The 27,776-nt window shown below is 46.7% G+C and overlaps 1 long non-coding RNA gene and 2 pseudogenes across 5 annotated transcripts in view; 2 read left to right on the forward strand and 1 right to left on the reverse strand.

Annotated features, from left to right (window-relative positions):
• The first annotated feature begins 3,318 nt into the window (after positions 1-3,318).
• LOC124901673 (uncharacterized) lies at positions 3,319-10,555 on the forward strand. Its single transcript, XR_007060384.1, has 2 exons — positions 3,319-5,989; positions 9,460-10,555. It is a non-coding gene; the product is annotated as an uncharacterized LOC124901673 (long non-coding RNA).
• On the reverse strand, positions 9,348-17,970 carry STAG3L2 (STAG3 cohesin complex component like 2 (pseudogene); annotated as a pseudogene). Its single transcript, NR_040584.2, has 8 exons — positions 17,746-17,970; positions 15,670-15,755; positions 15,041-15,157; positions 11,792-11,882; positions 11,502-11,581; positions 11,086-11,193; positions 10,707-10,821; positions 9,348-10,399 (listed from the first exon to the last, which is right to left on the reverse strand). The product of NR_040584.2 is annotated as an STAG3 cohesin complex component like 2 (pseudogene) (transcript).
• Positions 17,971-18,125: 155 nt separating this feature from the next.
• PMS2P5 (PMS1 homolog 2, mismatch repair system component pseudogene 5) overlaps positions 18,126-27,776 on the forward strand; it is a 30,371-nt pseudogene continuing 20,720 nt past the window's right edge. The window contains exons 1-5 of one of the 3 annotated variants that reach the window (NR_027775.2): positions 18,126-18,204; positions 21,476-21,615; positions 23,504-23,590; positions 23,767-23,869; positions 25,010-25,193. The product of NR_027775.2 is annotated as a PMS1 homolog 2, mismatch repair system component pseudogene 5, transcript variant 1 (transcript). The remainder of the gene's footprint in view (positions 18,205-21,475; positions 21,616-23,503; positions 23,591-23,766; positions 23,870-25,009; positions 25,194-27,776) is intronic. The other 2 variants (NR_027776.2, NR_027777.2) reach the window with 2 other exon arrangements.

The raw sequence follows: 27,776 nt of genomic DNA on the forward strand, positions 1-27,776 counted from the left end.
GGAGGAATCTCAAAGGCAGGGGTCCATGGTCCCCAGCTGGTCCGTGACTTGTTACAAATCAGGTTGTGCAGCAGGAGGTGAGTGGCAGGTGAGGGAGCATTACCGCTGGAGCTCCGTCTCTTGTCAGATCAGCGGTGGCATCAGATTCTCACGGGAGCGTGAACTCTATTGTGAACTGCGCACGTGAGGGATCTAGGTTGCATGTTCCTAATGAGAATCTAATGCCTGATGATCTGACATGGAACAGTTTCATCCCCAGACCATCTGGCTAACTCCTACCCCCAACCCCATCCCCATTCGTTGAAAAATTGTCTTTTTTGAAACTGATCCCTGGTGTCAAAAAGGTTGGGGGTGCTGGGCACAGTGGCTCACACCTGTAATCCCAGCACTTTGGGAGGCTGAGGTGGGTAGATCACTTGAGGTCAGGAGTTCAAGATTAGCCTGGCAAATATGGCAAAACCCTGTCTCTACTAAAAATACAAAAATTGGCCGGGCATGGTGGCTCACGCTTGTAATCCCAGCACTTTGGGAGGCCGAGGCAGGCGGATCACGAGGTCAGGAGATCGAGACCATCCTGGCTAACACGGTGAAGCCCTGTCTCTACTAAAAATACAAAAAATTAGCCAGGCGTGGCAGCGGGTGCCTGTAGTCCCAGCTACTCGGGAGGCTGAGGCAGGAGAATGGCGTGAACCTGGGAGGCGGAGCTTGCAGTGAGCCGAGATCTCGCCACTGCACTCCAGCCTGGGAGACAGCAAGACTCTGTCTCAAAATAAAAAAAAAAAAAAATAATAATAATAATAAAATTAGCTGGGCGTGGTGGCACATGCCTGTAATTCCAGCTACTCAGGAGGCTGAGGCAGGAGAATCACTTGAACCTCAGAGGCAGAGGCTGCAGTTAGTTGAGACTGCGCCACTGCACTCCAGCCTAGGCAAGACAGCACGACTCCATCTAAAAGAAAAAAAAAAGAAAAAAAAATGGGGACCACTGTTCTACGGGATAGAGGACAGGGAGGTGGAAGAAAGAAAGGGAGAAGTGTGAGGGGCGTTTTGTCTGCCCTGAGCTCTCTCATACTCGCAGCCCAGGGCAGGCAGGGCTGGGCTTGGAGGGTGGAATGGTCTGGGCAGAGGTCAGTCCGAAACTTCAGCCCTGGAGGGAGCTGGAGCTGGGGCTTTATCTTGCTCTCTTTCCTTACTTTAACTTAATCTTGTCTTTATTAGTTTTATAGAGATAGGGTCTCACTATGTTGCCCAGGCTGGTCTTGAACTCTTGGGCTCAGGAAATCCTTTCACCTCAGCCTCACAAAGTGCTGTGATTACAGGTATGAGCCTCTGCACCCAGCTCTTTCCTCCTTTTAAAAACAAGAAACCTGGCCAGGCACGGTGGCTCATGCCTATAATCTCAATACCTTGGGAAGCTGAGGCAGGCCGATCACTTGAGGCCAGGAGTTCGAGACCAGCCTGGCCAACATGGTGAAACCCTGTCTCTACTAAAAATTCAAAAATTAGCTGGGCATAGTGGCACATGCCTGTAATCACAGCTACTCAGGAGGCTGAGGCAGAAGAATCGCTTGAATCCAGGAGGTGGAGATTGCAGTGAGTCAGGGTCATGCCACTGCACTCCAGCCTGGGTGACAGACTGAGACCCTGTCTCAAAAAAAAAAAAAAAAAAAAAAAGCAAGCAAGCAAGCCTGAGTCACAGGGAGAGGCTTCTCCCCAGCCCCTGGGAAGCCGAAGAAGCCCTGGCCAGGCCGGCTCCCAAACTCAGGGGTCCTGCTAGGCACCTGCTGTCACTCTCACTACCGACCTGGGAGAAGGCAATGGCCCATTTATGACACTGGAGGCGAGGGCCATGCACCCCCTAAGCAGGCAGCACCTCTGGAGCCATTCTGCAGCTGGAGGTTCATTTCCTTCCTGATGTCATAGTGCTCCAAGGTGGCACAGCCAGGACGGGAGCCTAGGGAATTGTCATCCACCCTGGAGCCCTTTCCGTCTCTCAGCGGCTGTCCCAGCCCTGCACTCAGGCAATTCCTGCAGGAATCGGTGGCCCCTGGGCGTCCTGGATGGGGAACCACAGCCCCTGAGGCAGAGCAGCACAAACCCTCCAGTGGATCCCGTTCTCTTCTCCCAGGGATCAATGAAGCCCAGGGTGTGGGAGCTCAGCCTTGGTGTCCCGGCCCCTGTGGTCACACAGCAGCTATTGCTATGGGGTTGGGATGCAGGGAGGAAAAGCCCAGCGTACCCCTTTCCACCCCAGGCCCCAACTTCTCTGTATTTGTTTATTTACCTTGGAAAAGGCCCCACGGCCCAGGCAGGAAATGGGCCAATTCCAGGAGGCCGAGGCGGGGAACAAGGAGCTACATTGTGCTCGGGCGGTGGCTCCCCACCCGGGCCTGCCGGGAGCCCAGAGGTGGGGGGGTCTGCATGGGGACCGGGCGGGAAGGAGGCGTGGGGCTGAGGGGCTGCCAGTGCTCCCAGCCAGCCGGCCGGCCTGTCAAAAGGCTTCTGTGCAGGGGGTGGGATGGGGGCTGTGGCTCCCTGTCCCACCTGGGAATGAACAGAGGCTGGGCAGTGGGGGAGGCAGACGCTGGGCTGGGGCTGGCCCCCAGTGGCGACCCAGGGCCCACCTGGCACCGATCTGCCTGCCCAAGGCAGACCCTGCCCTGGGAACCCCATCTCCTTGGGCTGAGATCCCACCCTGGGGCTGGGGAATGTTCCCGCCCTCCACCTTCCTTCTGGGGTCTCAACTCCTGCCAGGCAGCTGGCCTGACCTCAGATTTCCCCTAGCCCAAGGCTATGTCATCATGGGGGCGGCCTGAGGAGGGCTGAGCTCTCCCTGACCCTAGACTCTTCTTTACTGACAGGCTAGTGTCCATATGGATGGATCATTCATTCACTCATTCATTTATTTAATACACTCCCTGTCTGTTCGATGCACACTCCCCTTCTCTCCACTTCTGGCCCCGTTTCCTCTAATCCTTCATTCCTTGGTTCCCAGAGGGTTAAATGTAGATCGATATGTCACCTCTGGCTCCAAAGGTCTCTGAAGGGCCAGGTGCGGTGGCTCAAGCCTATAATCCTAGCACTTTGGGAGGCCGAGGTGGGTGGATCACCTGAGGTAAGGAGTTCGAGACCAGCCTGGCCAACAAGGTGAAACCCCATCTCTACTAAAAACACAAAAATTAGCCAGACTTGGTGGTGGGCGCCTGTAATCCCAGCTACTCAGGAGGCTGAGGCAGGAGAATCACTTGAACCTGGGAGGCAGAGGTTGCAGTGAGCCAAGATCACACCACTGCACTCCAGCCTGGGCAACAAGAGGGAAACAAAAAAACAAAACAAACAAAAATAAATAATTTAAAAATAAGGGTCTCTGAAGACTTCCTGCTACTTTCTGGGTCCATGCCCCTCCTCTCCGTCCTCCACTTCCCACCGGGCTCTTCAGGCTCCAGCCTAGATAACACCAGGTTAAATTTTGATCTCCCGGGGACTGGGTGTCGGGAGGGAAAGGCGGGGGGAGTGTCAGAGAGGGGATGGATTTCTCCCACCACACTTGGGGAGGCCTCCGGATGGATATGTCCTTCCAGCTGATGGACCTCAGGATTGGGAGAAAGATCGGGGACAAGAGACGGGCACAACAGTCACCTGGTTTCTTTTTCTTCCTTTATTTTTTGAGACTGAGTCTCGCTGTATCACCTAGGCTAGAGTGCAGTGACACGATCTTGGCTCACTGCAACCTCCACTTCCCAGGTTCAAATGATTCTCCTGCCTCAGCCTTCTGAGTATCTGGGATTACAGGCGTGCACTGCCATACCCGACTAATTTTTGGATTTTAGTAGAGATGGGGTTTTGCCATGTTGGCCAGGCTGGTCTTGAACTCCTGACCTCAAGTGATCTGCCCACCTTGGCCTCCCAACGTGTTGGGATTACAGGTGTGAGCCACCGTGCCCAGCCACATGGTGTCTTCCGTGACAGCTCCCTCTCTGCTGAAATAGCATTTCCCACCCCCACCCATGGCATCACTCTTCTGCTGCCATTTTCATCAAAGACTGATGTCACTTGGCATGTTTTTAGGTTTTTTTCTGGTGGCTTTTATTTTTTTAATTTTAGAGATGAGGTCTCACTATGTTGCCCAGCCTAGTCTCAAATTCCTAAGCTCAAGGGATCCACCTGCCTCTATCTCCCAAAGTGCTGGGGTTACAGGCATGCACCACCACGCCTGGACCACATTGCATGCATTTTATTTAAATTTTTTTTTTTTTTTTTTAAGACGGAGTCTCATTCTGTCACCCAGGCTGAAGTGTAGTGGTGCGATCTTGGCTCACTGCAATCCCGGGTTCAAGCAATTCTCCTACCTCAGCCTCCCGAGTAGCTGGGATTACAGGCGTGAGCCACTGTGCCCGGCCTTTATTTAAGATTTGCCTCCTTAACCATTACACCTGTAATCCCAGCCCTTTGGGAGGCTGAGGTGGGCAGATCACCTGAGTTCAGGTGTTCAAGACCAGCCAGGCCAAGATGGTGAAACCACATCTCTACTAAAAATTCCAAAATTAGCCAGGCGTGGTAGCAGGCACCTGTAGTCCCAGCTAATCAGAAGGCTGAGGCAGGGGAATTGCTTGAACCTGGGAGGTGGAGGTTGCAGTGAGCCAAGATTGCACCACTGCACTCCAGCCTGGGCAGCAGAGTGAGACTGTCTCACAAAAAAAAAAAAAAGAAGTGTCAGGTGCTGGCAGAGACACTGCTTTTCCCTAATTGACCTGTTTGGTCCTCACATTAACCATATTTTACAGCTACTCTCATTTACAGATAAGGAAACTGGGCCAATGAGGAGGTGAGAAATCGCTCAAGGCTGCCAGGTACAGTGGCTCATCCCTGTAATCCCAGCACTTTGGGAGGCCAAGGGAGGAGGATTAATTGAGGCCAGGAGTTTGAGACCAGCCTAGGCAACATAATGAGACTCTGTCTCTACAAAAAATTTAAAAATTAGTGGGGTGTGGTGATGCATGTGTAGTCCCAGCTACTCCGGAGGCTGAGGTGGGAGGATCGCTTGATCCCAGGTGTCTGAGACAGTAGTGAGCTACGATTGCACCACTGCACTACAACCTCGGTGATGCAATGAGACGCTGTCTCAAAAAAAAAAAACCACACACACACAAAACAACAAAAAAACAAATTGTTCAAGGCGAGCCTGGTGTGCCAAGCCCTTGTTCTGGGCACTTGGCTTATATTATCTCCCTTAATCCTTCCCACCACCCCAAGTGCTAGATACTGGGATTAATTTAGTTGAGCTGTAATACATCAATACTGTGTGAAATGCTATGCAACATCTAAAAGGAAGACAGGTGGAGCTTTTATTTATTTTTTATTTTATTTATTTTTTGAGACGCAGTCTCGCTGCATTACCCAACCTGGAGTGCAGTGGCACAATCACAGCTCACTGTAGCCTCAACCTCCTGGGTTCAAACAATCCTCCCACCTCAGCCTCTCAAGTAGCTGGGACTACAGGCTTACACCACCAAGCTTGGCTAATTTTTTTTTTTTTTTTTTTTAGAGATGGTGTTTTGCTAAGTTGTCCACACTGATCTCAAAATCCTTTTGTTTTTGCTTTGGAATGGTCTGGAACTCCTGAGCTCAAGTGATCCTCCCACCTTGGCCTCCCAAAGGCCTGGGATTACACGTATGAGCCACCGCACCAAGCCCATGTTGAGCTTTTAAGGTATTAAAGATCCACTAGGTGAAAAAAAAGAGTGAAAGATACATATGCCATTTAAGGGAAGCACAGGAAAACTCCTATTTTGTTTATATGTGAATAGAGGCACATAGATGCCTAGAAAAGTGTCTGGGAGGGAATGAAACCAGATTGGCCACAAAAATCACCTCTGGAAAAAGGAAAAGAATGGGGACTTTCACTTTTTGCTTCATATGTTTCATGTACCTTTTTTTTTTTTTTTTTGAGATGGAGTTTCACTCTTATTGCCCAGGCTGGGGTGCAGTGGTGCGATCTCAGCTCACTGCAACCTCTGCCTCCTAGGTTCAAGCGATTCTCCTGCCTCAGCCTCCCAAGTAGCTGGGATTACAGGCATGCGCCACCACGCCCGGCTAATTTTTTGTGTTTTTAGTAGAGACGAGGTTTCTCCATGTTGGTCAGGCTGGTCTCGAACTCCTGACATCAGGTGATCTACCCACTTTGGCCTCCCAAAGTGCTGGGATTACAGGCGTGAGCCACCGCGCCCAGCTGCTTTTTCTTTTTAAAAAGTAAAATATAACAGAGAAAACTGCACAAAACAGAAGTGTTCAAATTAAATTTTTTTTTTTTTGAGACAGGGTCTTGCCCTGTTGCCCAGGCTGGAGTGCAGTGGCTCATTCATAGCTCACTGCAGCCTCAAACTCCTGGGTTCAAGCGATCCTCCCACCCCAGCCTCCTGAGTGGCTGGAAGGCCAAGGGAGGATCGCTTGAGCCCAGGAGTTTGAGGCTGTGCCACCACACGCAGCTGGTTTTTTTTTTTTTTTTTAATTTTTTGTAGAGACAGGGTCTCGCTATGTCACCCACGCTGGTCTCAAACTCACGGGCTCAAGCAATCCTCCCATCTTTGGCCTCCCAAAGTACTGAGACTACAAACATGAGCCATCTTGCCCAGCCCCTAGAACGTGTTATCAAATAAACACCGATGCAACCCTCACTCAGCTGAGAAGTAAAACATTGCCAGCCAATCCCTAAATGCTTCTGCTTGCCGCTTCCCAATCCTAACCAATGCCTTCTCCTGACAATTATGATGGTCATGTCTTTGCATTTCTCTAATGTTTCCCATCACGATCAAACTAGTTTTGTTTTGCCTGTGTCCAAACTTTGCATAAATGAGCAGCATGTGTCTGGTGGACCTGGCTTCTTCCACTCAACATTATGATAAGAAGATTGACCATTTGGTGCCCATAGCTATTGCTCTTGCATTTTCATTGCTCTATAGATTCTTACTCAACATACCTTAAAAATTTTTTTATTCTGAAATAAGAGCGGGATGCTATTAAAAAAAGAAAAAAGAAGAGAACAAAAAAGTCCTCCAGTAAATTTAAAATATGGTAGTCAAGGCCGGGCACGGTGGCTCACACCTGTAATCCCAGCACTTTGGGAGGCTGAGGTGGGTGGATCACCCGAGGTCAGGAGTTCGAGACCAGCCCGGCCAACATGGCAAAACCCTGTCTCTACGAAAAAAATACATAAATCAGCCAGGTGTGGTGGTGTGCACCCGTAATCCCAGCTACTCGGGAGGCTGAGACATGAGAATTGCTTGAGCCCGGGAGGCAGAGGTTTCGGTGAGCTGAGAACTGCCACTGCACTCCAGCCTGGGTGACAGAATGAGACTATAAAAGAAAGAAAGAGAGAAAGAGAGAGAGAAAGGAAGGAGGGAAGGGAAGGGAGGGGAGGGGAGGGGAAGGGAGGGGAGGGGAGGGGAGAGAAGGGGAAGGGAAGGGAAGGAGAAGGGAAAGGGAAGGGAAGAAAATTAGAGATTAATTCAGGAGATTCAACATCCGCCTAATAGAAATTCTAGAAAGAGGAAGTAGAGAATAGAGAGGCCAGGTGCAGTGGCTCACACCTATAATCTCAGCACTTTGGGAGGCTGAAGTAGGAGGATTGCTTAAGGCCAGGAGTTTGAGGCTGCAGTGAGCTATGATTGAGCCACTGTACTCCAGCCTGGAAAACAAAGCAAGACCTCGTCTCTAAAAGTAATAATATGCCGGGACAGTGGCTCCCCACACTTTGGGAGGCTAAGGTGGGCGGATCACTTGAGGTCAGGCTTTCGAGACCAGCCTGGCCAACATGATGAAACCCAATCTCCACTAAAAATAAAAAAATTAGCCAGGTGTGGTGCTGCACACCTGTAACCCCAGCTACCTGGGAGGAGACAGGAGAATCGCTTGAACCCGGGAGATGGAGGTTGCATGAGGTGAGATCGCCTCATTGCACTCCAGCCTGGGTGATAGAATGAGACTCTGTCTCAAAATAATAATAATAATAATAAAGTTAAATATAAATAAATAAAAGCAAATGAATATAATGAGTTTTATTCATTTGTTTTGCTGTTGTTATTGTTTTGGAGACAGAGTTTTGTTCTTGTCGCCCAGGCTGGAGTACAATGATGCGATCTGGTCTCACTGCAACCTTCGCTTCCTGGGTTCAAGCGATTCTCCTGCCTTAGTCTCCTGAGTAGCTGGGATTAGAGGCGTGTGACACCACGCCCGGGTAATTTTTGTATTTTTAGTAGAGACGGGGTTTCACCATGTTGGCCAGGCTGGTCTCGAACTCCTGACCTCAGGTGATCCACCAACCTGGGCCTCCCAAAGTGCTGGGATTACAGGTATGAGCTATCATGCCTGGCCTCATTTCTTTTAAAATCAGAAGGAAAAAATATATATAACTTTTAGGCCAAAAATGTCTTCACATATATTAATAGATTGATCTTTTCCCAATGCAACCATAAATATCATTTTTTAAAATTATTATTATTTTAGAAACAGGGTCTCACTCTGACGCCCAGGCTGAAGTGCAGTGGTATGATCTTAGCTCACTGTAGCCTCCAATTCCTGGGCTCAAGCGATCCTCCCACATCAGCTTCTTGAATGTGACCTCAGGCAGACGTCACCGTGCCCAGCTAATTTTTAATGTAATTTTATTTTTTTGGTAAAGATGGGTTCTCATTATGTTGCCCAGGCCGGTCTTGAACTCCTGGCCTCAAGTGATCCTCCTGCCTTGGCCTCCTAAGGTGCTGGTATTATAGGATTGAGCCACCAAGCCCGGCCCGAATATAATTTTTAAATTTTTTTTTTTAAGACAGAGTTTCACTCTTGTTGCCTAGGCTGGAGTGCAGTGGCACGATCTCGGCTGACCGCAACCTCCACCTCCCGGGTTCAAGCGATTCTCCTGCCTCAGCCTCCTGAGTAGCTGGGATTACAGGCATGCACCACCACACCCAAATAATTTTCTATTTTTAGTAGAGACAGGGTTTCTCCACATTGGTCAGGCTGGTCTTGAACTCCCGACCTCAGGTGATCCTCCCACCTCGGCCTCATAAAGTGCTGGGATTACAGGCATATGCCACCACGCCCGGCCTAATTTTCTAATTTTTTTTTTTAACTGAAGAAGGACCCCAGGAAGTCAAAAGTGCCTATAACCCAGGAAAGTCTAAATGAGGACAACGGAGGCTGGGCGTGGTGGCTCACTCCTGTAATCCCAGCACTTTGGGAGGCCAAGGTGGGCGGATCACCTGAGGTCAGGAGTTCGAGACCAGCCTGGCCAACATAGTGAAACCCTGTCTCTACTAAAAAACACAAAAATTAGTCGGGTGTGGTGGCGGGCACCTATGATCACAGCTTCTCAGGAGGGTGAGGCAGGAGAATCGCTTGAACCTAGGAGGCAGAGGCTGCAGTGGGCTGAGATCGCACCACTGCACTCCAGCCTGGGGGACAGAGCGAGACCCCGTCTCAAACAAACAAAACAAAACAAAATGAGGACAATGGGGCTTCCAATGGCAACTCGAGACGTTAGTTTACTCCAGAGTCATGGAGACAGTGAATGGAGTGTGTGTGTGTGTGTGTGCGTGTGCGTGAGTGAGAGAGAGAGGAAGAAGGGAGGGAGGGACGGTTACAGGAGTGTGGGAAAGTCAACAGGAAAAGGAGGGAAGGTTCGCTGTGAACTGACAGTAACTGTGACATCACAGGCATGTGCGGAGTCCCCGCCCCCCCAGGCACTGTGCCAAGGCCAGTACCTTCATGTCATGAGACCCTCTCAGCAACTCTGTAACCTTGTCCCCACCAGAATATTCCTTTCACAGCTGAGAAAACAACAGCACAGAGAGGATGAATTAAAAATTGTCTAACATGCTGGGCGCAGTGGCTCACGCCTGTAATCCCAGCACTTTGGGATGATGAGGCAGGTGGATCACAAGGTCAAGAGATCAAGACCATCCTGGCTAACACGGTGAAAACCCGTCTCTACTAAAAATACAAAAAAGTTAGCCGGGCGTGGTGGCGGGCACCTGTAGTCCCAGCTGCTCGGGAGGCTGAGGCAGGAGTTGCTGGGCACTGGACACAAGGATTTCTATCAGTGTGCTCTCCTGCACATCACCCAGGTCTGGAGTGCCAGGAGGATCAAAAACATAGAATCAAAGATTAGCCACCTTCCAACTCCAAGTTTCCCCCACCCCATGCCACCGTTCCTGCCTTGTACAAGTGAAGCAAGCAATCTCTCCTGGTTTCACCCTAGGAGGTGGAAGGTCCCTGGCCCTGGCTCCATGTGGCACGTGCTCTGGTCCTTCTCCAGCAGCAGGCTTGTCAGACCCTCCCAGTCCTTCAGCTGAGTCCCTGCACAGTCCCACAGGTTGTCTACTAAGTAAGCAGCGTGGTCGTGGAGCTGGGGAAGGAGGTGCATGGGGATTTAGTGATGGCATGTTAAAATACCCTAGGAAGTGGTTACTGATTAAATATCGCTCTCCTTCCTACAGTGTACACCCCCATCCTTCTCCATTTGTCTTTTTTTTTTTTTTTTTTGGTAGAGACAGGGTCTCACTATGTTGCCCAAGCTGGTCTCAAACTCCTGGGCTCAAAGGATCCTCCCACCTCAGCCTCCCAAAGTGCTGGGCTTACAGGCGTGAGCCACCAACCCCAGCCCACTTGTAGGTCCTATGCACAACAGCCAGAGTTCTCTCTGTGTATGTCACCTTGCTCTCCACAAAGAAGGACAGCAGAAGCTGGAAGAAAGTCCTCTGGGCGCCTGGGCTCTGGCGTTGCTCTCTTCCACCCATCGTTCTTATCTCGCACTCAGGGTAGAAAAGTCTGGTGGAATGGACACAAGGAAAGGGCTCAGCACAGGAGGAAACAAGGAGGTGTAATCATGACCACAGACGGAGGAGATGGCCCAAGGAGATGATAAAGGAAAAGGAGGTGCAGAGCTAAGGAAAGCCCCAAGGAGCTGAGAGAGGAAAAGAGACAGCAGAGAGACTTCCACGGAGATGGGGAGGCCTTAAGTAGGGCAGCAGCACATGTGGGAGAGAAACCGAGAGGGTGGTGTTAAAGAAACGTAAAAGGAGCCCCACTCACTTCCAGTACAGAAATTCACCCACAGCAGAGGCCAGGCCTCAATTAGAGGCCTACACAATGGGGTAGACGCTCTCACAGTCCACGTCCATCAGCACCCCTTCCATGTTCCTGCCCACAGAAAAGCAGAAAGAGTGTGTGAATAGGGACATTGTCTTCTGGCACAATCAAGGCTAGAAAGAAAAAGAGGCAAAAGCAACAAGGACATAACTCACAAAAAACTCCTAAGTGGAGAGTGGAAGACAAGGGAGTATGGGGAGTTAGAGAAGACAGAAATATTACCCTCTCAACATACTGCAACTCAGGAATGACCTCAGTCAACCTGCACAGATGGAAGAGTCAGCTGTGACAGGTGGAGGGAGATGACCCTGGAAGGGCAAAGGTCTGAGACACTGGCCTCCCCTCTTCCCAGGACTCACTTAAGGATAAGTATCAGTAATCTGACGGCCTCCACTGCCACACTGTACTCTCTGTCCACGATCATGGAAACCATCCAGTCCTGCAGAAAGGAGAAAGTCACTCAATATCTCATTACGCCCATTCCAAATATTCTGTTCTCTTAGAATCAGAGCCTCCTAAAGAGAGTGCCTACGTAGAGGCAGATGCTGGGATAGCCAAGACATCTTAGAGCATGAAGGGTAGAAAGATACAAGGTGGGGAAACGGGAACCACGACAAAGAGCCAAGCCAAGGAGCACCACCCGTCTCACCTTGAAGCGGCCAGTGAAGGCGTGCGGTCAGGTCCCGGTTACCGTACAGCCCTTTCAGAGCCTTCACGCACTTCACGCGGACTTCTCGGTGCTGGTGAGGAGGGAAAACCAAGAGAATGGAAATAAGACCAACCACACTCTACTCGCCCCTACTGAGCGTCCAGACTCCCCTCTCCGATCCCTCATTCTAGCTTGGGTGTCCCCTCTACTGAGGACTCTGAGATGTCAGAAACAATGAACAGCTGTCTTCATACTTAAAAAAAAAAAAGGATCACAGCAGTACTCATGATGAGAAGGATCCTTTGGCTGCCCCTTAGCACCTGCATTACCATCCATCAATAACTCTCTTCCATTGGAAAGTCTCTCTCCCCGTACCTCATGTTTTGAGTCATTTCATCTCCTGGGTATGTCTCTCTCTACCTTATCCTACCCTCCCCAGTGCTAGCGGAGTTTCAAGGTTCAGCGCCTTGATGGGTTAATCATTGGTCACTAGGTAAAATATCTCAGTGGCAGGCCCAGGAAAAGGTGAAGTGTCCTAGGACAGGAAAAAGATGAAGGAAACGGAAAGGGAAACTGACTCGAATCCCACCTTATCATGCAGAGTCCAACCAATATATTTTAAATAGCTGTCGGTGAGGAAAGACGTGCTGTAGCTTTGCATCCAACACCCAATTTCCTCAATGCAGATAGCACGGATCTCAGGAAGGACATCCCTAGACACAGACAGATAAGTCGACTCTTAGAGCCACCCTCTCTCCAAACTCACTTTCCATCCTACCAGTTAACTCCCTCTCATGGAAGAATTTATTTTCTTGAAATGCCATGTACCCCATGCCTTTCATTTCTTCCTCCCGATGTAAATACTATATATATAGTAAAATACATGTAAATATTTTTTCTCTTTTTTTTAAGGGATGGGGTCTCTTGCTGTGTTGCCCAAGCTGGCCTTGAACTCCTGGGTTCAAGTCATCTTCCCACTTTGGCCTCTCAAGTAGCTAGGACTACAAAAATGTGCCATACCCAGTTAGTAAATATTTTCTTTCTGTTACCAAACCATAAAATAGTTAAACACCAGCCTTGTACAGCCTAATTCTCCACTCCACCTGTTGCCCAGGCTGGAGTGCAGCGGCACAATCTCAGCTCACTGCAACCTCTACCTCTCGGGTTCAAGTGATTCTCCTGCCTCAGCCTCCTGAGTAGCTGGGATTACAGGTGCACCACCACGCCCAGCTACCTTTTTGTATTTTTAGTAGAGATGGGGTTTCACCATGTTGGCCAGGCTGGTCTCGAACTCCTGACCTCAAGTGATCTGCCCGTCTTGGCCTCCCAAAGTGCTGGAGTTACAGGTGTGAGCCACTGCACCCGGCCTCCATACCTCTTTTAAAAACCAATTTTGAAAGTTCATTCAGGCTGGGCATGGTGGCCAAAAATTAGCCAAGCATGGTGGCGGGTGCCTGTAGTCCCAGCTACTTGGCAGGCTGAGGCAGGAGAATCGCCTGAACCCGGGAGGCGGAGGTGCAGTGAGCCAAGATCGCGTCACTGCACTCCAGCCTGGTGACAGAGCAAGACTCCGTTTCAAATAAAAAACTAACACACTGTACTACTGCATGTAAGGTGGAAAAGACAACTGGAATTAAAATGTGCTCAGGTCCTTGTAGAAGATAAGAAATCCAGAGGAAAGCAAGCAAAGGGGGAAAAAGAAACAGAAAAGATAAAACGATTGTGCCAACTCAATACTAGGCCATAAGGCTAAGTCTCCATAAATGTCTTTTTTTTTTTTTTTTTTTTTTTTGAGACAGAGTATCACTCTGTCACCCAGGCTGGAGTGCCGTGGCACAATCTCAGCTCACTGCAACCTCCACCTCCTGGGTTCAAGCAATTCTCATGCCTCAGCCTCCCAAGTGGCTGGGATTACAGACAAATGCCACCACATGCAGCTAATTTTTGTATTTTTAGTAGAGATGGGGTTTCGCCATGTTGGCCAGGCTGGTCTCGAACTCCTGGCCTCAAGTGATCTGCCTGCCTCAGCCTCCCCAAGTGCTGGGATCACAGATGTGAGCCACTGTGCCTAGCCCCTACATAAATTTCAAACACCACATTCCCTGACTACAACACAATAAAGTTAGAAATCAAATAACGAAAATATAACTAGCAAAATTCTGTATGTTTGAAAATTTTAAATATTTTCCCAGAAACTATAAAACTACATGTTAATGTGGATAAATCTCAAACAATCTTAACTGAAATAATTAAATCACAGAAGCCTGAATAATGGATTCATTTACATAATTAAAGAACACATTCATAGTGGTAACACTATAATGAAAGATGAGAAAGATTAACGCAAAGTTCACCCTAGTGTTTACCTATGGGTAATAAGGGGACTGTGAGGTAGGGTAGAAAGAAGGTACACAAAGGATCTCTACAGCACTATTAATGTTTCATTTCTTGAGCTGGGGCTAGAGATCTGGGTGATATCTCATTTTTATTTTTTAAACTACATATACGCTTTGTACACTTCCAGATATTAGAACTTCAATAAAATTATAAAAAAAGAAACAGAGAGGGAAAAAATAATTAAGTATAATTGTCAAGATGGAGCTAAAAAATAACATGGGTGAACAAGGTGCCACCCACATCTAAGCTTCCTTCCCATGTCATGCAATGCCTCTCCTCATCTGCTCCATCAATCAATAAAGGCATAATCACTCCTGTGATACCTTTAAGAAAAGAACACGCTTTAAGAAAAGAAACGCTCTCTCGAAGCCGGGTGCGGTGGCTCACACCTGTAATCCCAGCACTTTGGGAGGCCGAGGCAGGCGGATCACCTGAGGTCAGGAGTTGGAGACCAGCCTGGCCGACATGGTGAAACCCCATCTCTACTAAAAATACAAAAATTAGCTAGGCATGGTGGCACATGCCTGTAAGCCCAGCTACTTGGGAGGCCTCAGCCTCCCAAGACCATGAGAATCGCTTGAACCCAGGAGGCAGAGGCTGCAGTGAGCTGAGACTGTGCCACTGCACTCCAGCCTGGGCAACTGTCTCAAAAAAAAAAAAAAAAAAAAAAAAGAACATGCTCTCTTATTCAAGGTTACCTTCTATCACTCCAAGGATTCACCCCATAATCTTATCTTTCTTGATATGTTACACTCACTAAAATGTTCACATCAAATCAAGTTTGTAGACACTTGTCCTTACCACCTTACAAAAAGTGAGATGGTATCAACAGAGGTAAGACACTGCTTTTACCTGCATGTCACTTTTGGCAGCTTTCGCAGCATTGAAAATATCATTGGCTGGTGGCTCTGACTGTTTCCGGCTATGACGATGTACCGCTTGGGACCCTTTCTTTGGATATTTTGCCACCTGATACACATAAAAAGATCAGAAATATGAAAAAAAGGTAACAGTGACATTAACACTTGGTTTCATCATTATCACACAAGTAGGCTTATGCTGCCAATTCCACAGCAGTCTGAGTTAGACTCAGTCCTGAAATAATTGATTTTTATATTATGAAGTTTATTAACTTTTTTCCCTTTAAAAAAAAAATTCCTTGAGTCTCCTTCCCGTATCTCTATAACCAAACATCCTTTTCTTTTCTTTTCTCTTCGAAATTTCTCTTCTTCCTATTTCCGTCCCTTAATACTTTGTAAATCTTGTCCTTTTTTGAACCATATCACCTGAACCTCTTAGGTTTTCTCTTTTTTTTGAGACGGAGTCTCGCTCTGTCGCCCAGGCTGGCGTGCAGTGGCGTGATCTCGGCTCACTGCCAGCTCTGCCCCCAGGGTTCGTGCCATTCTCCTGCCTCAGCCTCCCGAATAACTGGGCTGATTCCCCCACAAGATTCAAAAACAAAAGAAAACTGGCTGACTCACCGGCGTTGTTTTCAGTGGTCGTTTTGCTGCTTTCTTCTTCACACCGCGATTGAAGCTGTCCTCAAATCATTTTCTTGTCTTCTTGTCTATTTGTATGAATTACTGAGTTACATTCTCATTGCTACTTATTTAAGCAAAGTATTCTTAGTTTGTTAAGAACAAAGAACTACAAATTGTGTTCATTTTCTGTCCTTTCCTGTTCTTAGACTAAATTACCTGAAATACATCAAAATATATGCTGTATGCTTACCTATATCAAAACTATGTTGTTTAGGTGCCGGGCACGGTGGCTCACACCTGTAATCCAGCACTTTGGGAGTTCAAGGCGGGCGGATCGCCTGAGGTCAGGAGTTCAAGACCAGCCTGGTCAACATGGCAAAACCCCGTCTCTACTAAAAATACAAAAATTAGCCAGGTGCAGTGGACAGTGCCTGTAATCTCAGCTACTCATGAGGCTGAGGCCTGAGAATTGCTTGAACCCAGGAGGCCAAGGTGGCAGTGAGCTGAGATCATGCCACTGCACTCCAGCCTGGGTGACAGAGTGAAACTCCGTCTGAAAAAAACAAAAAAAACAAACAAACAAAAAACCTGACCATATTGTTTAGGGATACTTAGCTGACAAAATAATAGAGACAAGCATGACATAATTACCACAAAAATCAGGCCCTGGGGTGCTGGTGGGGAAGGTTTAAGTGGAAAGAATGGAGCGGTGACAATGTGTGTCAACCTAGGAGGTGGTGACCCTGGGGTTCGCTTTGTAATTCCTCAAAATGAGCATTTATGTGCTATTCACTTTTCAGAGGATAGAATTCTGAACTAAAATGTTTAAGCAGCCATACGCAAAAAAAAAAAAAAATATGGATAGATTTTTATTTTAATTAAAACATTTAAAAAATAGAGACAAGGCAGCTGGGCGTGGTGGCTCACGCCTGTAATCCCAGCAATTTGGGAGGCCGAGGCAGGCGAATCACGAGGTCAAGAGATCGAGACCATCCTGGCTAACACGGTGAAACCATGTCTCTACTAAAAATACAAAATAAAGTTAGCCAGGCGTGGTGGCGGGCGCCTGTAGTCCCAGCTACTGGGGAGGCTGAGGCAGGAGAATGGCGTGAACCCGGGAGGTGGAGCTTGCAGTGAGCCGAGATCAGGCCACTGCATTCCAGCCTGGGCGACAGAGCAAGACTCCAACTCAAAAAAAAAAAAAAAACATAGAGACAAGGGTCTTGCTATGTTGCTCAGGGTGGTCTCAAACTCTCCGGGCTCAAGCAATCCTCCCGCTTCGGTCTCCCAAGCAATCCTCCCGCTTCGGTCTCCCAAAGCGCTGAGATTCCAGGCGTGAACCACCGCGCTCGACCAGGAAAAAAAATATATATATATATAATATATAATATATTTTATAATATATTATGTCATATATTACACATAATATACAATATGTATAATACGCATAATAAAGGTATATTTAATATATATAAAGATATATATGTATATAATAATTTTTTTTTTTGAGACGGAGTTTCACTCTTGCTGCCCAGGCTCGAGTGCAATGGCTCGATCTCAGCTCACTGCAAGCTCCGCCTCCAGGGTTCAAACCATTCTCCTGCCTCAGCCTCCCGAGTAGCTGCGATTACAGGCGCCCGACACACGCCCGGCTAATTTTTGCATTTTTAGTAGACACGGGGTTTCACCATGTTGGCCAGACTGGTCTCGAACTCCTGATCTCAGGTGATCCGCCCGCCTCGGCCTCCCAAAGTGCCGGGATTACAGGCGTGAGCCACGGCGCCCGGCCTGAATAAATCTTTTAAAACATAAAAATCTGGGTGAGCCCCTGGCCGGCCGGCACAGATGCCGGGGTGGGGCCGCGAATCGGTTGGGACGCACTCTATCCGGCCTAGGGGCACCCGGGCCAGCACCCGGCCGCCGCGCGTGCGCAGTGGGCGGGGGGCCCCGCGCTCCTACCTGCAAGTGGCCAGTGCCAAGTGCTGGGCCGCCGCTCCTGCCGTGCATGTTGGGGAGCCAGTACATGCAGGTGGGCTCCACACGGAGAGGGGCGCAGACCCCGTGATAGGGCTTTACCTGGTACATCGGCATGGCGCAACCAAAGCAAGAGAGGGTGGCGCGTGCCAGACACCAACGGTCGGAAACCGCCAGACACCAACGGTCAGAAACCGCCAGACACCAACGCTCGGAAACCGCCAGACACCAACGCTCGGAATACACGCCAGACCACGACGGAGGGCGACCACCTCCCTTCTGACCCTGCTGCGGGCGTTCGGAAAAAAAAAACGCAGTCCGGTGTGCTCTGATTGGTCCAGGCTCTTTGACGTCACGGACTCGACCTTTGACAGAGCCACTAGGCGAAAAGGAGAGACGGGAAGTATTTTTTCCGCCCCGCCCGGAAAGGGTGGAGCACAACGTCGAAAGCAGCCAATGGGAGCCCAGGAGGCGGGGCGCCTGTGGGAGCCGTGGAGGGCACTTTCCCAGTCCCCGAGGCGGATCCGGTGTTGCATCCTTGGAGAGAGCTGAGAGCTGGAGGTGAGCTGGGCTCGCGGTCGCCCCTCTCGCGCGCCCTCTTTGAGAACCACGGCTTCCAACCTCCCTGGAAATGGGGGGAACATGGCCGAGGCGCGTGGCGAGGTCACCTCGTGGAGGCCCCGGAGCGGCATCCTCAGCGCCCCAGCGATCCGGTGCCCATTAGGTGCGCCTTGAAGCCGAGGCAAGCTCCTTCGGGGTGCTGGGCTGCGGGCAAAGAATTCGGCCCTGTGAAGAGTTGGGTTCGGCCTGTCTCAGGCCCTGCCCACATCCCATCACAGGGCCGTGGACTTGAAGCCGGAACGTGAAATCCCCATAGACTGAATGCATTTCCTTTCTACCTGTTCTCCCTCCCCTTTTATTTTTATTTTTATATTATTTTATTTTTAATTTTTATTTTATTTTTTTGTAGAGACGGGGATTTCGCTATGTTGCCCAAGCTGGTCTGGAACTCCGGAGCTCAAGCAGTCCGCCCGCCTTGGCCCCCCAAAGCGCTGGAATTACAGGCGTAATGCACTGTGCCTGGCCTTTTAAAAAAAAATTGAGGTTATTTTGGGGACAGTAGAGCATCCAGACATATCCTAATTTGCGTAGCTGCTCAGTTTTAAAAAATGCAATGCATTTTTACCTGTTAGGGTATGTGATTTCTGGCTGGTAAGCTACACCGAATCTTGGCTAGCACAGTTGAATTCCATGTCAGATTTGTAAACGCAAATTTGCTCTCTGCATTTAAATATATTAGATATATTTAGGTAACTACATTTAAATGTATTGAGACATTTAAATAAATTTGCCGTCTGTATCTAAATATCTGAAGTGGACCAGGTGCGGTGGCTCACACCTATAATCCCATCACTTTGGGAGGCCAAGGCAAGTGGATCATGAGGTCAGGAGTTCACGACCAGCCTGGCCAACATGGTGAAATCCCATTTCTACTAAAAATACAAAAATTAGCTGGGCGTGGTGGCAGGCGCCTGTAATCCTAGCTACTTGGGAGGCTGAGGCAGGAGAATCGCTGGAACCCAGGAGACAGAGATTGCAGTGAGCTGAGATTGCACCACTGCAGTCTAGCCTGGGTGACACAGCAAGACTCCATCTCAAAAAAAAAAAGAAAAAAAATCAGAAGTGAACCTGTAGCCTGTAGTGTGTTGCCAAATAAACTTATTTTTAGAGATACTTCTTTCCATTTTCTGTGAGGTCATCTGCAGTTTCACATGGTAGACAGACTTAGGTGAGATTCTTAGCAACATAGAATGAAGAGTAAAGAGGTTTGTTTATTTCACAAGGGTTTATTGAAGGCCTACGATGTGTTAAATGCTGTAGGAAATACCCACTGATTTCTCTTTTCATGGAGGTTTCCCGCCTTCTCTTAACGAGTGATCAATTAAACTGTTTACTGGGAACTTGCTAAGTTAATGAACACACGGGATACATTCTTTGGATGAGCAGACATTGGTTGGGCAGAGGGGCAAGAGGAGAGCAGTTTAGACAGAGACCTGCTTATACACTGTAGTGTCTAAGAGAGCTTGTGATGTTCAGGAAACAGTTGTTCACTGTGCTGCAATATAGGGGACGGCCAGTTGCGGTGGCTCACACCTGTAATCCTAGTGCTTTGGAAGGCCAAGGCGGGCAGATCACCTGAGGTCAGGAGTTAGAAACCAGCCTGGCCAACATGGTGAAACCCCATCTCTACTAAAAACACAAAAATTAGCTGAGTGTAATGGTGGATGCCTATAATCCCAGCAACTTGGGAGGCTGAGACAGGAGAATCACTTGAACTTGGGAGGTGGAGGTTGCAGTGAGCCGAGATCATGCCATTGCACTCTAGCCCAGGTGACAGGGTGAGACTCTGTCTCAAATAATAATAATAATAATAATAATAATAATAATAATAATAATAATGTAGGGGACTTGATGAAGGGAAAGGATCGGAGAGATTCTGAAAAGAAGGTAGTTTGGGGCCCAGTGATGACTAGATTTTAAGTTTCATATAGTAGGAAGTGGGGCACTAGTAATTTTTCAAGCAGAAAAATTATTTGACCAGATTCGTGATTTCAAAAATAGCTCTGGTGATAGAGTGGAGGATGGGTTGGAGCAGGGAATAAGGGGAAATGAAACCGTTATAAAACTCTTAAAGTGGGCTGGGCGTGGTGGCTCACGCCTGTAATCCCAGCACTTTGGGAGGCTGAGGCGGGCGGATCACGAAGTCAGGAGATCGAGACCATCCTGGCTAAAACGGTGAAACCCTGTCTCTACAAAAAATACAAAAAATTAGCTGGGCATGGTGGTGGGCGCCTGTAGTCCCAGCCACTCAGGAGGCTGAGGCAGGAGAATGGTGTGAACCCGGGAGGCAGAGCTTGCAGTGAGCTAAGATCGTGCCACTGCACTCCAGCCTGGGCGACAGGGCGACAGAGCAAGAATCCGTCTCAAAAAAACAAAAACAAAAAAAAAAAAACTCTTAAAACAAGTACAGCAAGAACTTTGAGGGTCTTTGCTAAGACAGCAGCTGGCAGCTTCAATTTGGAGTAGGGTATCAAAGGCAACTGTGTATAAGGAATAGTTATATAACTGGTATCCAATTTCTGAGATGATTTTGACTTAAACATTGTGTATTTCCCAGCATACTGTTGGTTTTTCTAATTATGTGGGAAATTATGTTGCTTTTACTTTTTTTTTTGCTCATTGCCCAGCCTAGCGTGCAATGCTGCAATCTCAGCTCACTGCAACCTCCGCCTCCCAGGTTTAAGTGATTCTTCTGCCTCAGCCTCCCAAATAGCTGGGATTACAGGCGCCCACCACCATGCCTGGCTAATTTTTTGTATTTTTGGTAGAGACAGGGTTTCACGACGTTGGCCAGGCTGGTCTCAAACTCCTGATCTCAAGTGATCCGCCTGCCTCTGTGTCCCAAATTGCTGGGATTACAGGCATGAGCCACCACACCGGCCATGCTTTCAGTTTTCAAGAAAGAAGACACCATTATTGCCAAAGATTTTGGTAATTTGAGAGATACAATGTATGTTTTCTCCATGTGGATACTAGATAGTAAGGATGTGTTGAATTTGAAGTGTCTATCCAGAAGTATTTTGGGTACTTGTTTAAGGATTGTAAAACAATGTTTCCATTTCTGGATATAATAAATGTATTTGTTAATATAATAAATGAATAGATTAGAACCATAAACTATTTGCAGTGTTGAGTCATTTCCCACAGTTAAAATCAGGATGAAAATATATAGCTGAATACTTGCTTTGTTTCTTGTAACTGATTTCTTTAGTACAGAACCTGCTAAGGCCATCAAACCTATTGATCGGAAGTCAGTCCATCAGATTTGCTCTGGGCAGGTGGTACTGAGTCTAAGCACTGCGGTGAAGAAGATAGTAGAAAACAGTCTGGATGCTGGTGCCACTAATATTGGTAAGTTTGGGAGAGTTTTAAGCCACAAGAAATGATCAGTGAATGTTGTTGTAGTCAAGAAACATTTGTTATTGAAATAAGACTATCAAGTGTTGATGTAGTAATAAACTATTATTTTTAAGTTAAAGTTAGCACCTATTATGTGCCTAGTACTTAGCTAGGTAGTAATAATAATAACGACAGCTTTTCTTGTGTTCTTATGGTGTGCCAGGCAGGTGTTATGCTAAGAATTGCACAGAAATATCTCATTTAATTTGCAGAATAGCTGGGCGTGGTGTCTGACGCCTGTAATCCTAGCCCTTTGAGAGGCTGAGGTGGGGGGATTGCTTGAAGCCAAGAGTTCAAGACCAACCTGGCCAACATGGGGAGACCTCGTCTCTATTAAAAAATAAAGCAGGCCGGGTGTGGTGGCTCACGCCTGTAATCCCAGCACTTTGGGAGGCCAAGGCGGGTGGATACCTGAGGTCAGGAATTCGAGACCAGCCTGTCCAAAATGGTGAAACTCTGTCTCTACTAAAAATACAAAAATTAGCCAGACCTGGTGGCAGAAGCCTGTAATCCCAGCTACTGGGGAGGCTCAGGAATGAGAATTGTTTAAATTTGGGAGGTGGAGGTTGCAGTGAACCGAGATTGTGCCACTGCACGCCAGCCTGGGGACAGAGCAAGACTCTGTCTCAAAAAAATAAAATAAAATAAAATAAAATAAATCCTGGAGTAGTGGCTCACATCTGTAATCCCAGCACTTTGGGAGGCTGAGGGGGGCTGATGCTTTGAGGTCCGGAGTTCAAGACCAGCCTAACCAACGTGGTAAAACCCTGTCTCTACTAAAAATACAAAAATTAGCCAGATGTGATGGTGCATGGCCGTAATCTCAGCTCCTCAGAAGGCTGAGGGAGGAGAATTGCTTAAACCTGGGAGGTGGAGGTTGCAGTGAGCCAAGATCGATTGTGCCACTGCATTCCAGCCTGGGTGACAAGAGCAAAAGTCCATCTCAAAAAATTAAAAAAAAAAAAAAAAGGAAAGAAAAAAAAGAAAATGACAAAATTAAAAAAAAAATTATTAATCTGCCAAATAACTTTATGAGATAGAACTTATTACCTCCATTTTACAGTTGAGGAAATTAAGGGACAGTAAATTTCCTTTTTTTGAGATTATAAAGCTAATAAAATAGAATCTAGGAAGTCTGATTCCAGAACCAGTTCTGTTTTTTTTTCTTTTTTTTTTTTTTGAGATAGAGTTTTGCTCTTGTTGCCGAGGCTGCGGTGCAATGGCACGATCTCAACTCACTGCAACCTCCACCTCCCAGGTTCAAGCGATTCTCCTGCCTCAGCCTCACAAGTAGCTGGGATTACAGGCATGCACCACCACGCCTGGCTAATTTTGTATTTTTAGTAGAGATAGAGTTTCTCTACGTTGGTCAGGCTGGTCTCGAACTACTGACCTCAGGTGATCCGCTCGCTTTGGTCTCCCAAAGTGCTGGGATTACAGGCATGAACCACTGTGCCCGGCCCCCGTTCTCCTTACTGGGTATGTTAAAATTATTTCTTTCAAAGGAAAAGGCTGGTCAAAGTGCAACGGTCTTTACAACTAATTGATCACAACCAGTTACAGATTTTTTTGTTCCTTCTCCACTCCAACTGCTTCACTTGACTAGTGTAAGGAAAAAAAAAAAAAAAGAGGAAAGAAAGAAAATGCTAAACTATTTAATCTGGGCTAGTAAATGGTCAGAAAGAACTTTATAAAAATGAAATATACAAAATGACACTAGTATGTTTAACTAAAGGTATAGTTACGACACTTAAATTTGCACGTTATAAATAATATCAATATAAAAACTGATAGCGTGGGTCCATTTTTAATAAATATATAAATATTTTAAACTTTCTAGATCTAAAGCTTAAGGACTATGGAATGGATCTCATTGAAGTTTCAGGCAATGGATGTGGGGTAGAAGAAGAAAACTTTAAAGGCTTAAGTAAGTTAACTTTCTAATCCTATTATAAAATAATTGGGCCACATGTCTTAGAATTTTGAGTAACACTGTCTTGGGAAACACAAAAACAGTTTTCTAAAGCCAGTTACTAGATATCATGTATATTTGTTGTTATAGCACTTGAGATGTCTTAGTCCTTACTTTACAGTCTCTTTCAGCTCTGAAACATCACACATCTAAGATTCAAGAGTTTGCCGACCTAACTCGGGTTGAAACTTTTGGCTTTCGGGGGGAAGCTCTGAGCTCACTTTGTGCACTGAGGTGATAAAATATTTTTATCCATTCACTTGACCCCTTAGAAAAACCTCTCTGAAAATTAATTGGAATCATTATTATTTACAATTTTCTATCTCAATATCTCAGCTTCTAGCTTCTGAATTCTGTTTTGTCTCACTGCCAATCTAAGTCCTAGTACTTCTGAAATGTGAGCAATAAATGAATGAAATGAAGCAAATAGTATTGTTTAAAAAATTGGTTACCCTTATTAAAACAGTAACTTCTCAATTTGAACAGAACATATAGATAATAAATGATAGTTACCATTGGTTTTCATTATCAATTTTTAGGGAAACATTTCACCAAAGCACTATTTAATTATAGCACAGATACTAAATTTTTATAAATGATTACATGCACACACACACACACACATATATATATACATATATATATATATATATATATATTTTTTTTTTTTTTTAGACAGAGTCGCACTCTGTCACCCAGGCTGGAGTGCAGTGGCACAGTCTCAGCTCACTGCAGTCTCTGCCTCCCAGGTTCAAGTGACTTTCGTGACTCAGCCTCCTGAAGAGCTGGGACTATAGCGTGCACCACCACTCCTGGCTAATTTTTGTATTTTTAGTAGAGATGGGGTTTTGCCATGTTGCCCAGGCTGGTCTGGAACTCCAGGCCTCAAGTGATCTGCCCTCCTTGGCCTCCCAAAGTGCTGGAATTACAGGCACGAGCCACCGCACCCTGCCCTACATATACATTTTAATTATAATATCTTTTGGATTCTTTAAAAAAATTTTTTAAAATTTTAAAAAATTCTTTAAAAAAATTCTTTTAAAAAATTTTGTTTGAAGAGTAATAACAAAACAAATCTCTATTTGAGAATCAATAAATCTTGAGATCATTTATGGTTTTGCAATTCAACCTGAAAAATGAAGTCAAAGCTTTTATCAAAACAAAGCATGTTTAGTGCTCTCTGTCTCACTGTCTTTTAGATGCCAGACCTTAGATTTTGTGATGACTCCTCAACCGTTTAGATCTCGGTTATCTCAGAGGGATCATCAGCTTTTTAAGAAAATTTTGAGAGAAAAGCAAGTGAAGAAAAGAGTAGTCAGTGCCCAACATCATGGATCTCTCACTGAACACACCATGCCTGGTATTCTCTCACAGTGATGTCACCATTTCTACCTGCCACGTATCGGCGAAGGTTGGGACTCGACTGGTGTTTGATCACGATGGGAAAATCATCCAGAAAACCCCCTACCCCCACCCCAGAGGGACCACAGTCAGCGTGAAGCAGTTATTTTCTACGCTACCTGTGCGCCATAAGGAATTTCAAAGGAATATTAAGAAGGTACAGTAAATTAATCCTGGTTTTCAAGAGTATTGGTTAATGCACATGAGCAAAAGATTTACTAAAGATGTTTATTCTTCAGTTGATTCTCTTCCCATAATTTATTGAGAAATGCTTTATTTGCATTTCTCATTAAAGACTTAACTTCAGGATGATTTACTTTTTTCTTTTTATCACATAATGTTTATTAGGACTGGGAAACATAGTGAGACTCTGTCTCTATGAAAAATTAAAAAAAAAAATTGACTGGGCATGGTGGCATGCACCTGTAGTTCCAGCTACTTGGGAGGCTGAAGTGGGAGGATCACCTGAGCTCAGGAACTTGAGACTGCAGTGAGCTATGATTGCGTCACTACACTTCAGACTGTGAGACAGAGTAAGACCCTGTCTGGAAAAATATATATACATATATATACATTTTTTTTATTTTTTATTTTTATCTTTTTTTGAGATGGAGTCTCACTTTGGCGCCCTGGCTGCAGTGCAGTGGCGCGATCTCAGTTCACTGCAACCTCCACCTGCCAAGTTCAAGCGATTCTCCTGCTTCAGCCTTCTGAGTAGCTACCATTACAGGCGCGCGCCACCACGCCCGGCTAATTTTTGTATTTTCAGTGGAGACGGGGTTCCACCATGTTGTCCAGGCTGGCCAGGCTGGTCTTGAATTCCTGCCCTCAGGTGATCCGCCCACCTCGGCCTCTCAAAGTGCTGGGATTACAGGCGTGAGCCACCATGCCTGACCTTATGTACTTATATTTTTATGAGAATATTTCTCTTGGTTTTCTGATAAATGAGTTACTGGAACCCTTATGAATTTGAATGCAAATGAAACAGCTAAATGTTATATAATTGTTGTGTTTAAAAAGCAGATTATAAAACTGTCTGTATTATATGATTACAGTTTTATAAAAACAAAACAGGCCTAAATGTGTATAGTATAAAGACTGAAGAGTCAGCACTTCCATGTTCTCAGCGGTTATCCTTGGATGTGAGATCTCATGCACTTTTTGCTCTCTTCTTTGTGCCTTTCCATTTTGCATGCGTATTTCTTATAATCTAAAAAGTTACTTAAACATATGCAGCTAAAAACTTTTTTTACTTGTAAAGCGTTTGGTGCTAATTTTAACTTTTTTTTTTAGACGGAGTCTTCTCACTCTGTCGCCCAGGCTGGAGTGCAGTGGTGTGATCTTGGCTCACTGCAACCTCCGCCTCCTGGGTTCAAGTGATTCTCCTACCTCAGCCTCCCAAGTAGCTGGGATTATAGGTGTGTGTCACCACACCCAGCTAATTTTTGTATTTTTAGTAGAGATGGGGTTTCACCATGTTGGCCAGGCTGGTCTTGCACCCCTGACCTCAAGTGATCTGCCCACCTCAGCCTCCCAAAGTGCTGGGATTACAGGCGTGAGCCACCACGCCTGGCTTTTTTTTTTAAAGCTTTTTTGTAAGTCAGCCAGCAAGAACACAGGAGGAAGTACTCAAATCTCCCTTACACAGCTGGGGGCTGTGTCAGGTTTTATAAGCATAGGGTAATGAGGTGTGATTTGATTGGATCTTGCAATAAAGTAATGCTGGGAGGTGTGATCTGACTGGATCCTGCCATGGGGTGACACCAAAACTCAATCTGATTGGATCCTGGCTCCTGCCTGGGGGTGTCTGGTTCTTAAATCGGTCCGAGCTCTTCAGGCTGAGCTCTTAGGTTCCACTCCACGGTGGCACGCGTGGTTAACCTGGGCATGCACAGGGTACATGACCTTCAACCTGCAGGTCGATGGCAATTGGAAAACAACTGACAACTTCATTACATAAAAGTTGAACTGATTCGGGTGCGGTGACTCACGCCTGTAATCCCAGCACTTTGGGAGGCCAAGGCAGGTGGATCACCTGAGGTCGAGGAGTTCAAGACCAGCCTGGCCAAAATGGTGAAACCCCGTCTCTACTAAAAATATAAATATTAGCCAGGCGTGGTGGCGCACCCTTGTAATCCCAGCTACCCCAGAGGCTGAGGCAGCAGAATGCTTGAACCTAGGACGTGGAGGTTGCAGTGAGCTGAGATCGTGCCATTGCACTCCAGCCTGGGTGACAAGAGTGAAACTCCATCAAAAAAAAAAAAAGTTGAACTAGATTTGGTCTGATGCAGTTACAGATTTACAAACCGCGTCCCACCCTCCTGCCAACACCTTCCACTCCTCATTCTTGAGGGATTAGGGATGGAGGTCATGCTTCTGTATCGACTTCATGCTGACCAGGGGCACTTAGTCCCCTAAAGTGAGAGGAATGAAACTCTTGGGCTTCTGAGTTCAGATGAGTTCTGGGGTCACCCGGAGTAGCTTGAAAGGCTGGTATTGTTGTAATACAAGCTGAAGGTGGAAGTGTTGGATCCTGGAGGACAAACAGCTCACCATCCATTTAAATAAATAGGACCAAAAAGTAACAGAACAGTGGCCACGAGGGGCCCCAACAGAGGAAGAAACCAGGTGAGGTGTGGTATAGTGGACTCGACTGCCTTCTAAATCTCAGTGGTTGTCCGGGTGCGGTGGCTCACGCCTGTAATTCCAGCAAAAGAAGAGCCGAGGCAGGGTGATCACG

This window comes from Homo sapiens, chromosome 7 (assembly GCF_000001405.40).
Source record: "Homo sapiens chromosome 7, GRCh38.p14 Primary Assembly".
NCBI lineage: Eukaryota > Metazoa > Chordata > Mammalia > Primates > Hominidae > Homo > Homo sapiens.